At 40.5% G+C, this 14858-nt stretch overlaps 1 long non-coding RNA gene across 2 annotated transcripts in view, besides 1 other annotated feature; it reads left to right on the top strand.

Annotated features, from left to right (window-relative positions):
• Window positions 1-14858, top strand: part of NPSR1-AS1 (NPSR1 antisense RNA 1) — a 487820-nt gene that overhangs the window by 312767 nt on the left and 160195 nt on the right. The gene's annotated exons all lie outside the window — the stretch shown is intronic.
• Window positions 7253-7830: an enhancer, noted in NCBI's record as "OCT4-NANOG-H3K27ac-H3K4me1 hESC enhancer chr7:34553347-34553924 (GRCh37/hg19 assembly coordinates)". NCBI's record gives its function as "activates a minimal SCP1, AML or CMV promoter by ChIP-STARR-seq in primed H9 embryonic stem cells {active_cell/tissue: H9 hESC(primed)}" and the evidence as "EXISTENCE:reporter gene assay evidence [ECO:0000049][PMID:30033119]".

The following is a 14858-nucleotide window of genomic DNA, read 5'->3' as shown; positions in this document are numbered from 1 at the left end:
GTGCCACAGACTTTGAAACAACCAGATCTTGCAGGCACTCACTCGCTATCAAGAGACCAGCACTGAGGGGGAAATCTGCCCCCATGATTTAATCACTTCCCACTAGGCCCCACCTCCAACAATGGAGATGACAATTCCGCATGAGATTTGGGTGGGGACACAGACCAAAATCATGTCAGCATGCAACCAGCGCAGTTGCTCAGGGTCCCACTCAGAAGATTCCCACACTTAGTGTGTGGCCACCACATTGAGATTCTTAATCATTTTTTTTTAATAATTTGTGGTTTGTAAGTGAAGGCAAATGGGACCATGGGGCATACACCAAGGGGTTCAAGTTTAGACTTGTGTGCAGTGTGGATTCTTACCACCTCCCCACTCTCCTCTTCCCCACCTCCCACTTCCCCCATATTGATTCTCAGACTCCCATCCCTCCAAACCTTGGCACCCTAATTATACCTGGCTTTCTCCTCCTTGCCCTGACTGCTGCCATCCTCCTTCCCCTCTTGGGCTCTAGGCACTTGTATAAAAATGGCTGGGGTCAGCTGTGTGCGCCCCATGACATCTCAGTGTGGGCACGGAGGTGCTGTCCCTGCTCCCACTTGCCCCGTGGTGTGTCTGGCCAGCCAGAGGTCATGTCTTGGCTAAAGTCCCCTCTCACCTATCCTTAATCCAAACACCAAGCACATCCTAGCATGGAGATCTTTGGGTTTTGCCAATCTTCTATGGATTGGTGTGGCATGTTGTGGGAAGGAGAGAGACCTGGATGTACGTCCCTAGACCCCACCATAGGCCAAGGCATGACACACTGGTCCAGCTGTAGGCAAGAGGGGGAATCTGGGAGCCATCAGACCTGAGTGAGGGCACAGGTGTCCCACATTATGTGGTGGGGCTCACAGGCAACTGGGAGGGACTGTATACACCCTGGGAGAAACCTTGTGCTCAGTGGCACCCCCTTGACAGCCTCCATACCTAGGAGACACTTTCTTCCTATTTCCAACCTCCTTAAGCCTGGCCTGTGTTTGTCTTTTCTGGCCAGTTTAAAGCATCTTCCAGTGACAAGCCAGGATAGCATTATTTGGGACTATTTTTGTAGTTCCACTTATGAGTTAATGTGTAAATATTTACATTTAAAATGGGCATCATACAATATAAAGATGTATACTTAAATTCATGTTAATAATTAAAAATTCTGACTTTCTTTTGCTTAAATGACTTTAAATAGCATTTAGAAACACCATGATGGGCTCCAGAAGAAAGAAAAATGCTTCATTTATACCTTTAATGACACTTTACTCACCCTGATATTTGAACAGAAGGCCTTACATTTTCATTTTGCCCGAAATCCTAAAAATTATGCAGCCATCCCTGTCCCAGGCTCTTGATAAATCCACAGACAGACTTGCCTGGATGGAAGGGGCTGGACATGAGGCAAGAGCACCCTAGAATAGAAAATCCTGTCCCAGCCTCTTTACATATTTATCAGCCACCCAAGGGGAGCAGGAACAACTTTTTAAATGTATGTAACAGGAATGTAACATGAGGCTTTTAACCCACAAGGCAGTCTCAATGGCTAACAGTTCATGGCCAAGAGTTTTCATCTTCTCAATGCCAAGAGCCCTCAGATATGAACAAAACTGTATATAGTTCATTCTCAGATCCAAATTAGTAGAGTCAAAGGAGACATGGGAATTTTGATAAAATCTGACTGGTCCAGAATAGTTCCCAACAATTGTTTGTATGGGCTCTGATATAATTTGGCTGTGTCCCCACCCAAATCTCATCTTGAATTGTAGCTCTCATAATTCCCACGTGTTGTGGGAGGGACCCAGTGGGAGGTAATTGAATCATGGGGGCAGGTCTTTCCCGTGCTGTTCTTGTGATAGTGAATAAGTCTCACAAGATCTGATGGTTTTATAAATGGGAGTTCCCCTGCACAAGCTCTCTGGCCTGCCGCCATGTAAGATGTGACTTTCTCCTTTGTCTTCTGCCATAATTGTGAAACCTCCCAGCCATGTGGAATTGAGGGTCCATTAAATCCTTTTTTTCTTTATGAATTACCCAGTCTCGAGTATGTGTTTTTTTTTTGTTTGTCTTGTTTTTTTTTGTTTTTTTTTTTACACTTAAATGCTCTAAGTTTAATAAAGACTTTTTTAAGGTGGGGCGTTCTGAAGGACAGCCATAAAAACCATTAAAGGTTTGGGCAATATATGCACTAATCATTCTAACAGCGATTTCTCAGGCTCTGTTCCTTTCTTTTTTTTTTTTCTTTTATTATTATTATACTTTTAAGTTTTAGGGTACATGTGCACATTGTGCCAGGTTAGTTACATATGTATACATGTGACATGCTGGTGCGCTGCACCCACTAACTCGTCATCTAGCATTAGGTATATCTCCCAGTACTATCACTCCCCCCTCCCCCCACCCCACAACAGTACCCAGAGTGTGATATTCCCCTTCCTATGTCCATGTGATCTCATTGTTCAATTCCCACCTATGAGTGAGAATATGTGGTGTTTGGTTTTTTGTTCTTGCGATAGTTTACTGAGAATGATGATTTCCAATTTCATCCATGTCCCTACAAAGGACATGAACTCATCATTTTTTATGGCTGCATAGTATTCCATGGTGTATATGTGCCACATTTTCTTAATCCAGTCTATCATTGTTGGACATTTGAGTTGGTTCCAAGTCTTTGCTATTGTGAATAATGCCACAATAAACATACATGTGCATGTGTCTCTATAGCAGCATGATTTATAGTCATTTGGGTATATACCCAGTAATGGGATGGCTGGGTCAAATGGTATTTCCAGTTCTAGATCCCTGAGGAATCGCCACACTGACTTCCACAATGGTTGAACTAGTTTACAGTCCCACCAACAGTGTAAAAGTGTTCCTATTTCTCCACATCCTCTCCAGCACCTGTTGTTTCCTGACTTTTTAATGATTGCCACTCTAACTGGTGTGAGATGGTATCTCATTGTGGTTTTGATTTGCATTTCTCTGATGGCCAGTGATGATGAGCATTTTTTCATGTGTTTTTTGGCTGCATAAATGTCTTCTTTTGAGAAGTGTCTGTTCATGTCCTTCACCCACTTTTTGATGGGGTTGTTTGTTTTTTTCTTGTAAATTTGTTTGAGTTCATTGTAGATTCTGGATATTAGCCCTTTGTCAGATGAGTAGGTTGCAAAAATTTTCTCCCATTTTGTAGGTTGCCTGTTCACTCTGATGGTAGTTTCTTTTGCTGTGCAGAAGCTCTTTAGTTTAATTAGATCCCATTTGTCAATTTTGGCTTTTGTTGCCATTGCTTTTGGTGTTTTAGACATGAAGTCCTTGCCCATGCCTATGTCCTGAATGGTATTGCCTAGGTTTTCTTCTAGGGTTTTTATGGTTTTAGGTCTAACGTTTAAGTCTTTAATCCATCTTGAATTGATTTTTGTATAAGGTGTAAGGAAGGGATCCAGTTTCAGCTTTCTACATATAGCTAGCCAGTTTTCCCAGCACCATTTATTAAATAGGGAATCCTTTCCCCATTGCTTGTTTTTCTCAGGTTTGTCAAAGATCAGATAGTTGTAGATATGCGGCGTTATTTCTGAGGGCTCTGTTCTGTTCCATTGATCTATATCTCTGTTTTGGTACCAGTACCATGCTGTTTTGGTTACTGTAGCCTTGTAGTATAGTTTGAAGTCAGGTAGTGTGATGCCTCCAGCTTTGTTCTTTTGGCTTAGGATTGACTTGGTGATGCGGGCTCTTTTTTGGTTCCATATGAACTTTAAAGTAGTTTTTTCCAATTCTGTGAAGAAAGGCATTGGTAGCTTGATGGGGATGGCATTGAAACTGTAAATTACCTTGGGCAGTATGGCCATTTTCACGATATTGATTCTTCCTACCCATGAGCATGGAATGTTCTTCCATTTCTTTGTATCCTCTTTTATTTCCTTGAGCAGTGGTTTGTAGTTCTCCTTGAAGAGGTCCTTCACATCCCTTGTAAGTTGGATTCCTAGGTATTTTATTCTCTTTGAAGCAATTGTGAATGGGAGTTCACTCATGATTTGGCTCTCTGTTTGTCTGTTGTTGGTGTATAAGAATCCTTGTGATTTTTGCACATTGATTTTGTATCCTGAGACTTTGCTGAAGTTGCTTATCAGCTTAAGGAGATTTTGGGCTGAGACAATGGGGTTTTCTAGATATACAGTCATGTCATCTGCAAACAGGGACAATTTGACTTCCTCTTTTCCTAATTGAATACCCTTTATTTCCTTCTCCTGCCTAATTGCCCTGGCCAGAACTTCCAACACTATGTTGAATAGGAGTGGTGAGAGAGGGCATCCCTGTCTTGTGCCAGTTTTCAAAGGGAATGCTTCCAGTTTTTGCCCATTCAGTATGATATTAGCTGTGGGTTTGTCATAGATAGCTCTTATTATTTTGAAATACATCCCATCAATACCTAACTTATTGAGAGTTTTTAGCATGAAGGGTTGTTGAATTATGTCAAAGGCTTTTTCTGCATCTGTTGAGATAATCATGTGGTTTTTGTCTTTGGCTCTGTTTATATGCTGGATTACATTTATTGATTTGTGTATATTGACCCAGCCTTGCATCCCAGGGATGAAGCCCACTTGATCATGGTGGATAAGCTTTTTGATGTGCTGCTGGATTCGTTTTGCCAGTATTTTACTGAGGATTTTTGCATCAATGTTCATCAAGGATATTGGTCTAAAATTCTCTTTTTTTGTTGTGTCTCTGCCTGGCTTTGGTATCAGAATGATGCTGGCCTCATAAAATGAGTTAGAGAGGATTCCCTCTTTTTCTATTGATTGGAATAGTTTCAGAAGGAATGGTACCAGTTCCTCCTTGTACCTCTGGTAGAATTCGGCTGTGAATCCATCTGGTCCTGGACTCTTTTGGTTGGTAAGCTATTGATTATTGCCACAATTTCAGAGCCTGTTATTGGTGTATTCAGAGATTCAACTTCTTCCTGGTTTAGTCTTGGGAGGGTGTATGTGTCGAGGAATTTATCCATTTCTTCTAGATTTTCTAGTTTATTTGCGTAGAGGTGTTTGTAGTATTCCCTGATGGTAGTTTGTATTTCTGTGGGATCGGTGGTGATATCCCCTTTATCATTTTTTATTGCGTCTATTTGATTCTTCTCTCTTTTTTTCTTTATTATTCTTGCTAGCGGTCTATCAATTTTGTTGATCCCTTCAAAAAACCAGCTCCTGGATTCATTAATTTTTTGAAGGGTTTTTTGTGTCTCTATTTCCTTCAGTTCTGCTCTGATTTTAGTTATTTCTTGCCTTCTGCTAGCTTTTGAATGTGTTTGCTCTTGCTTTTCTAGTTCTTTTAATTGTGATGTTAGGGTGTCAATTTTGGATCTTTCCTGTTTTCTCTTGTGGGCATTTAGTGCTATAAATTTCCCTCTACACACTGCTTTGAATGCGTCCCAGATATTCTGGTATGTTGTGTCTTTGTTCTCGTTGGTTTCAAAGAACATCTTTATTTCTGCCTTCATTTCGTTATGTACCCAGTAGTCATTCAGGAGCAGGTTGTTCAGTTTCCATGTAGTTGAGCGGTTTTGAGTGAGATTCTTAATCCTGAGTTCTAGTTTGATTGCACTGTGGTCTGAGAGATAGTTTGTTATAATTTCTGTTCTTTTACATTTGCTGAGGAGAGCTTTACTTCCAAGTATGTGGTCAATTTTGGAATAGGTGTGGTGTGGTGCTGAAAAAAATGTATATTCTGTTGATTTGGAGTGGAGAGTTCTGTAGATGTCTATTAGGTCTGCTTGGTGCAGAGCTGAGTTCAATTCCTGGGTATCCTTGTTGATTTTTTGTCTTGTTGATCTGTCTAATGTTGACAGTGGGGTGTTAAAGTCTCCCATTATTAATGTGTGGGAGTCTAAGTCTCTTTGTAGGTCACTCAGGACTTGCTTTATGAATCTTGGTGCTCCTTTTATTTTGAGCCTATGTGTGTTTCTGCACGTGAGATGGGTTTCCTGAATACAGCACACTGATGGGTCTTGACTCTTTATCCAATTTGCCAGTCTGTGTCTTTTAATTGGAGCATTTAGTCCATTTACATTTAAAGTTAATAGTGTTATGTGTGAGTTTGATCCTGTCATTATGATGTTAGCTGGTTATTTTGCTCATTAGTTGATGCAGTTTCTTCCTAGTCTCGATGGTCTTTACATTTTGGCATGATTTTGCAGCAGCTGGTACCGGTTGTTCCCTTCCATATTTAGTGCTTCCTTCAGGAGCTCTTTTAGGCAGGCCTGGTGGTGACAAAATCTCTCAGCATTTGCTTGTCTGTAAAGTATTTTATTTCTCCTTCACTTATGAAGCTTAGTTTGGCTGGATATGAAATTCTGGATTGAAAATTCTTTTCTTTAAGAATGTTGAATATTGGCCCCCACTCTCTTCTGGCTTGTAGGGTTTCTGCCGAGAGATCCGCTGTTAGTCTGATGGGCTTCCCTTTGAGGGTAACCTGACCTTTCTCTCTGGCTGCCCTTAACATTTTTTCCTTCATTTCAACTTTGGTGAATCTGACAATTATGTGTCTTGGAGTTGCTCTTCTCGAGGAGTATCTTTGTGGCGTTCTCTGTATTTCCTGAATCTGAACGTTGGCCTGCCTTGCTAGATTGGGGAAGTTCTCCTGGATAATATCCTGCAGAGTGTTTTCCAACTTGGTTCCGTTCTCCCTATCACTTTCAGGTATATCAATCAGATGTAGATTTGGTCTTTTCACATAGTCCCATATTTCTTGGAGGCTTTGCTCATTTCTTTTTATTCTTTTTTCTCTAAACTTCCCTTCTCACTTCATTTCATTCATTTCATCTTCCATTGCTGATACCCTTTCTTCCAGTTGATCACATCGGCTCCTGAGGCTTCTGCATTCTTCATGTAGTTCTCGAGCCTTGGTTTTCAGCTCCATCAGCTCCTTTAAGCACTTCTCTATATCAGTTATTCTAGTTATACATTCTTCTAAATTTTTTTCAAAGTTTTCAACTTCTTTGCCTTTGGTTTGAATGTCCTCCCGTAGCTCAGAGTAATTTGATCGTCTGAAGCCTTCTTCTCTCAGCTCATCAAAGTCATTCTCCATCCAGCTTTGTTCCGTTGCTGGTGAGGAGCTGTGTTCCTTTGGAGGAGGAGAGGCCCTCTGCTTTTTAGAGTTTCCAGTTTTTCTGTTCTGTTTTTTTCCCATCTTTGTGGTTTTATCTACTTTTGGTCTTTGATGATGGTGATGTACAGATGGGTTTTCGGTGTGGATGTCCTTTCTGTTTGTTAGTTTTCCTTCTAACAGACAGGACCCTCAGCTGCAGGTCTGTTGGAATACCCAGCCGTGTGAGGTGTCAGTGTGCCCCTGCTGGGGGTGCCTCCCAGTTAGGCTGCTCAGGGGTCAGGGGTCAGAGGCCCACTTGAGGAGGCAGTCTGCCCGTTCTCAGATCTCCAGCTGCGTACTGGGAGAACCACTGCTCTCTTCAAAGCTGTCAGACAGAGACATTTAAGTCTGCAGAAGTTACTGCTGTCTTTTTGTTTGTCTGTGCCCTGCCCCCAGAGGTGGAGCCTACAGAGGCAGGCAGGTCTCCTTGAGCTGTGGTGGGCTCCACCCAGCTTGAGCTTCCTGGCTGCTTTGTTTACCTAATCAAGCCTGGGCAATGGCAGGCGCCCCTCCCCCAGCCTCGCTGCCGCCTTGCAGTTTGATCTCAGACTGCTGTGCTAGCAATCAGCGAGACTCCTTGGGCATAGGACCCTCCGAGCCAGGTGCGGGATATAATCTCGTGGTGCGCCGTTTTTTAAGCCCGTCGGAAAAGCGCAGTATTCGGGTGGGAGTGACCCGATTTTCCAGGTGCTGTCCGTCACCCCTTTCTTTGACTAGGAAAGGGAACTCCCTGACCCCTTGCGCTTCCCAAGTGAGGCAATGCCTCGCCCTGCTTTGGCTTGCGCACGGTGCACGCACCCACTGACCTGCGCCCACTGTCTGGCACTCCCTTGTGAGATGAACCCGGTACCTCAGATGGAAACGCAGAAATCACCTGTCTTCTGCGTTGCTCAAGCTGGGAGGTAGACCGGAGCTGTTCCTATTCAGCCATCTTGGCTCCTCCCCGCCTCCAGTATGTCTTTATTAGCAGCATGAGAACTGATTAATACAGGCTCCTTGAAAAAGTTTGATGCTGGGACATCAAAAAGTTTGGCTTTATTCCAAACCATGGTTATCAAAGACACAAGCCACTCATTGGTTTACTGACCGGTTAGACCCTCAGTAAGTCAGACCATAACTATTTTAATGATTCAAGGTCATCATTATTAAATCAAATATGTGAAGTGAGAAGCTACATGAGATAGAAATTTATAACTTTTCTCAAAGAGAAAGAACATTTAATAGTAAATCCTATATATTTAGAATAAGTCTCTAGGATGACCCTGAGGCAGGCCCAGGGCTCTCACTCTTGGGTAGTTGGGGCAGAAGACCACTGTGTTTTACTAAGGGATACTAGGGAGGAGTATCTTCAAAGAAGGGAGGGCTAAAGATCTTTATTTTCAAGCTCCGAGTTAGTTAAACACATCCATTGGACTGAGTGATCCTGACTGAGGCCAACCAGAAGAAGGCACTGGGGTCTCCAAAAGGAAATAGACCGTTAAGTGGGGGACACCTTGATTTGGGGCTCCAGGCTCTATACTAAGATCAGATCTACTGTAGGAAAAGCTGGTTTGGGACCTGCCTTTGGCTCAGATCATGTCCCTTCCGAATCTAGCTGCCTGGATGCTGTGAATTTGCCTGGAAGAATACCCACATGTCCACAGGCTGAAAGAGCTGTATCACTGCAGAACTGGAGCACTGGGAACCCAGGTTTACCCTGTCATGAAGCACCCCTAGCTGAGAGTAATGCTCAGGAGCCAGACATTTTCTCCTGTATCCTGAGGAAACACTGTTACTTTGGATGGTGGCCATGACCCTCTGTGTTTCTGCAGTTGACTAGATCTTGATTTGAGGCTCTGGACTTCCTATTATTGCTGCATGAATGTGTGGCCGTAACAGTAGCAGCAGCTGTGGATAATGTTCCCTTTAAGCAAACTGACCAGACATTCTAGTGTCTTCGGCAGGAGTGTTAGTGACAAGATCTGATGCTTTTAGACTAAGTAATCACTGACTCTGGGATTCTTTGCCCTGATATGGAAAAAGGAGATTGAAAGAGAAAAATAGATTTTCATAATCAGCAAGACAGGGAACTGGAATTATTATAATATGAACTTGAAATGTGAATTTTTCATTATAAATTGGTGAATCAAGATGTGCCACTTAAATATAATGTTGTATTGTATTAGTTTCCTCTTGCTGTTGTAACAAATCAATATACATTTAGTGGCTTAAAGTAACACCAATTAATTTGTTCATGGTTTTGAAGTTCAGAGTCCTGAAATCAAGGTGTTGTTCGGGGGGCAATCTTTCTGAAGGCTGTAGGGCAGAAGCCATTTCCATGCCTTTTTACAGCTTCTAGAGGCCACCTGCATTCCTTGGCTTGTGGCTTCTTCCTTAATACTCAAAGCCAGCAGTGTAGCATCTTCAAATCTCTCTTTTTCATCCTCACTTCTCCTTCTCTAACTCTTCTGCCTCCCTCTTGGTGAAGACCCCTGTGATTTCTTTGGGCCCACCAAGCTAATCCAAAATATTATCCTCATCTCAAAATCTTTAATCACATCTTCAAAGTATTTTTTCCATGTAAGGTAACATATTCAGAAATTCTGGAAATTTAGACGTGGACATCTTTTGGGGACCATTCTTCAACTTACCACAAAATGATGACACTCTTTATTCCACCTGTAAGTGAGGGACTGAGCATTTGCCTCACACTAAATGCCCCGAGGTTGCTCTGCTGTGAGAGCATCTGTGCCTCCTATTCATTTTTCATTCTGCTTTTACTGCTTAGCATACCTCTCTCCCTTTAAGGCTGTTGATGTTTATTTCTTGTTGCTTCTAGCTATGTCATTCCTAAATTGCTGCTGCTTGAGAAATCAGAGAGGAAAGCTTTTTGGTTGCATGACTATAATAAATGAAAATAGATTTTTTAATTCAGGCCTGAAAGACATACCTGTCAACCAAGAGGGGCACATCTTGTCTGTGTAGCTTACTTGATATGGAGTATTCAAATGGAAAATAGCAAAATTCCTGAACTACTGTAATTAAGGGATGTTTAAAAGTATACAAATTGATAACAAGACATTTTCCCAATTTATAGCTTTTGTCATATTGCCTTGATGATTTTTCTGGCATCTTTTAAATATCTATTTACTAGCAATTATGTAATTAGCATTTTGATGTTTCTGTTTCAATAGGAAATCAAGTTCTCTTAGCCCTTTTTCCATATTGTGATTGGTAATAGTGTCTATTAACGTCCACTATGCAAGCTGCAAATTGTAAGATGTGTCTACATTTTATTTTTTACGTCCTTCTCCTAGTTATCACAATTGGGATAAATGAGGATTTTAGATCCAGATTGCCCTTATTAATAATGGCAATAATTACATGTATTAGTTTTCAAAAATTTTTTGACATTTTGCCAGCCTTTATGCTGTATTAGAGCTATTAAAAAGAGAACATAGCTACTTAGTCTAGATTGTGGTGGTAGAAACAGAGAATGCACACTGAAGTATTTTGTTTTGTTAGTCTGTTTGCTTGCTTTAAAGTAATATACTATTTTTAATTTTTTTTAATATCTTAGTTTTAAATAAGTCAACTAAGCCATGCTTCTTATGGAGGAAAACATATTAATAACAGTTATTGCACATTGCTATGGTTTGAATGTCCCCTCCAAAACTCATGTTGAAATTTAAGTATCATCCTAATGTTATTAAGAGGTAGGATCTTTCAGAGGTAATCAGGTAATAAGGGCTCTGCCTTTATAAATGGATTAACATTGTTATTATAGGAATGGGTTAGTTATCATGGGAGTTCAGCCACCTTTTTCTCTCTGTCTCATGTGCTTGCTTCCACAATCCACCTTTCTGCCATGGAATAACCTCACCAGATGCTGGCACCATGTTCTTGAACTCCCCAGCCTCCAGAACCATGAGCCAAATAAACTTCTGGCTTTTAATTAATTACCAAGTGTCTAGTGTTCTTTTGTAGCAGCAGAAAACAGACTAAGACAGACATTAAATATAGGTTTAAGCAGTTTCATCATTTTATATCTATATGTTTATAGCACATCTTCACTTTTCCTGAGTTAATTATTTTATCTATTTATTTATTTCAGTTGGCTCAATTACCTGTCTCACTGGAGAACATTTTATAAAGTTCTTGCATATCTCAGAATATCTTAATGATCTCATAAATCAGTTATAGCTTGGCTGAGTATAGATTTTTTTTCCCCTTAAAAGGTATGTATGCAAGACTTGCCTTAAAAATCTCATAGACCAACAATGATAGACTGGATTAAGAAAATGTGGCACATATACACCATGGAATACTATGCAGCCATAAAAAATGATGAGTTCATGTCCTTTGTAGGGACATGGATGAAATTGGAAATCATCACTCTCAGTAAACCATCACAAGAACAAAAAACCCAACACCGCGTATTCTCACTCATAGGTGGGAATTGAACAGTGAGAACACATGGACACAGGAAGGGGAACATCACACTCTGGGGACTGTTGTGGGGTGGGGGGAGGGGGAGGGATAGCATTAGGAGATATACCTAATGCTAAATGACGAGTTAATGGGTGCAGCACACCAGCATGGCACAAGTATACATATGTAACTAACCTGCACATTGTGCACATGTACCCTAAAACTTAAAGTATAATAATAATAAAATAAAATAAAAATCTCATAGAAAAGTTTCATTTGTATTTAGTATTCAGTGTGGTAAAGAACAAAGTTTTGGTTCTATCTTGATTTTTTTTCTCTATAGGTGATTTTATTATTATTATTATTATTATCATCTGATAGTTGATGTCCTTTTCCTGGTAAGATTCAATTTTTTTTTCATCTTGGACAACTTCTACTCAATTATTTATTTTATTTTGCTTCTCTTTGTCCTCAATATTATCCTCCTGCACTACCTATATCATGTATGCTGGATCTCCTAGATCATTTTTCCTAGTCTCTTGTCATTTTGCTTATCATTATATTGTTATCTTTATCTTTTTCCTCTTAGTTCTGAGACAATGTTTTTAGTGCAATTTTTGCCATTTTTTGAGTTTCTTTCATTATTCAACTTACTAGTCATTACTTGCATAGTATTTTTTTAAAGTTATCGATGAAGTGTATTGTCTGAAACAATTTTTGTGAATATTGAATATTTATTTTCCAACATTTTCTGCCTACAGTCAGTCATCTGGGATCTAATTGAAAACATTAACTAAAAAAATTGACATTTATTGTAATTTCTTAACTTTATTCCTTTTCTTTTGAACTGCTGAATCTTTTTACCTGCTGGGTTTTGTTTATTCATACATACAAGAGGGTCAATGAAATGTTGCAGCCATGCCAAAGAACCTTCGTCATTTATGTGCAATCTAGAGGTCACTGATGCAGACCCCCTCACCCACACTTCCTGTCCACTATGACAGGAAAGCATCCAGGCCAAGTATAACTTTGGAGTGAGATCCACAGCCTTCACTCTGGTACACTTCTTGAATCAAGGTCAATGTTTTTCACTCTTACAGCCACTCTTTCATCCAGTCCACACCTTTTTAAGGTAGAACTCTGGTAGGGATTTACATCCACTTATTTCTCAGGTGCATTTTCTCTTTGTGTATGGTAAGATGTAGGGGCTTGCCATTTTCTTAACCCAATTGCCTACTCTCCAGCCTTTTGAAAGTCTGAATAGCTCTCTTTTGGGGATCCACAGATCTTTATTACATCTTCTTGATTACTTCAATGGATGAGTCAGAGAGAAAAGAACCATAAGGGTGATCAAATTATCATTGCAAATGAAATCCCCAGGGCTTCTTGTACTAGAGTGGCTCTGATAACAAATTAGATATGTCACAAAATTATAAACTCTTGCTAATCAAACACTATCCTTCATGGGCCACATTTCTGGGATTCTATGTGGAGGTTATCTGTACTATAATAAGTCTCTAAGATGATGTGACGCTATTTCATTTTATCACTCTCTTTGCATCATCCAAGTTTTATTTTTTTTGTCCTCCATGTGTATTTGTCCATCAGCTTCTTGCTACCAATTTGTTGACAACTAAAATGAGAACTATATTTTCTTGCTGATTTCCAAGTTGCTTAGAAAAGATGCCAGTCTCCTGCCTAGACCCTTGTTTTATAATTAGTTTAGGGTTATGCACATCATAGATGTCACTACTCACTGACTACCTCCTCCTTAATTGCTGTCATCATTGCCTGATAGACCATCTTCAGCATGGCATAAGTCGTATTTGACAATTTTCTCTGCTGTTGAATCATCCTGTTAAAAGTATTTGGAAATCTCATCCTTAAACCAGAACTACCACCTTCCCCAACTCTAACTCAGCAAGGTCTTTTAAGCAAAATCACTTCACTTTCTATTTTCTTCTCTTTTCTTCTCTCCCTCAGGGAAGTTATGAGTCAGACAGACCTGAACTTAGAGAAAGAGGTTGGCTGAGGTTGGGGCCTTTCATCTTCTAGAGAGAATGAACTGTAGAGAAGGGGAAAGGGGAGGGACAATGTGGGAAGGGAGAAGGATAAAAGTGATGGGTTTCTAGTGTTTTGAGGCTCGACTTCTGTAGTGTGGTATCATCATTTAATTAGACATGTTGGAAGTTTTTAGATGGTCAGACTTTCTCACAATCAAATGCAAATAAGAGAACCTTCGAAGCCAAATTAAAATGCTGTTTTGGACAGAAGTACGTTTGGTTTATTTGTGCTGTGGTGCCCTGTTGAAAACACTGCCCGACTTATTGAATTTATATACAAAAAGAATTGTAAGGAAAGAAGGACACTGGCATTCACTGGGTGTCTTCTACCAGTCAGACATTTAACATGCCCTCTTACTTGATCATTTTCAATCCAATGCAATAGGATTTTCTTTACACAATTTTGCAGATGAGGCCCAGGGGGTTAAGTAATTTGTCAAAGGTCACAAACCTAGTAAGTGCCAGATGCAGGGTCTGAATTTCCCAATTTTATGAGCCCGTATCATTTCTCTCAATCTTCCTTCACCACATTGGAGCTGAGGTCAGCAAATTACGACACATGGGCCAAATACAGCCTGCTACTTATTATTGTAAACACATCTAAACCCACCCATTTACATATTGTCAATCACTGCTTTTGTGCTATAAAGGTAGAACGAGTAGTTGTGACAGAGACAGCATGACCCATAAAGCCTAAAAGTTTGTCAGTCTCTGTATTACGGCAGGTAGTATGGCCCAGTGCTTCTCAGATTTTAATTTTCTCAGGTTTTAATTTAATTTTAATTTAAAACACCTGGAGACCTTATTGCCATTCAGATTTTGGTTTAGGAGATCTGAGGTGGGGTCTGAGATTCAGATCCATGTAACTGCACCATGGATCATACTTTGAGTAGAAAGGATGTATTCAGTAACAGAATAGCCTAAATGTAATTACTCACTTTTCTCTGAGATTCCCTGGGTTGAGAAGAGAAAAATACCTCTTGTGGTTCCCTTCCAGGTGAAATAGTTATTAACTAATTGGGTTCTGCCTCATTCAGAGAAGAATTACTGTCAGCAGGAAAGAAAGCCTGTGTTGGCCCCACCACGCGTCAGCTGTGGGACCTTGAGAAAGCCCGTGTAGCCCCAGGCTTCCTCTGATGACATGTAGGTACTAATCTTCCAGGTGTATACCTGTGGTTCTCACCCGTGGCTGCACAACACGCTTCCCTGGAGAGCCTTGAAAAC

This window comes from Homo sapiens, chromosome 7, assembly GCF_000001405.40.
Source record: "Homo sapiens chromosome 7, GRCh38.p14 Primary Assembly".
Classification (NCBI taxonomy): Eukaryota; Metazoa; Chordata; class Mammalia; order Primates; family Hominidae; genus Homo; species Homo sapiens.
This window is presented reverse-complemented; position numbering and strand designations above follow the sequence as displayed.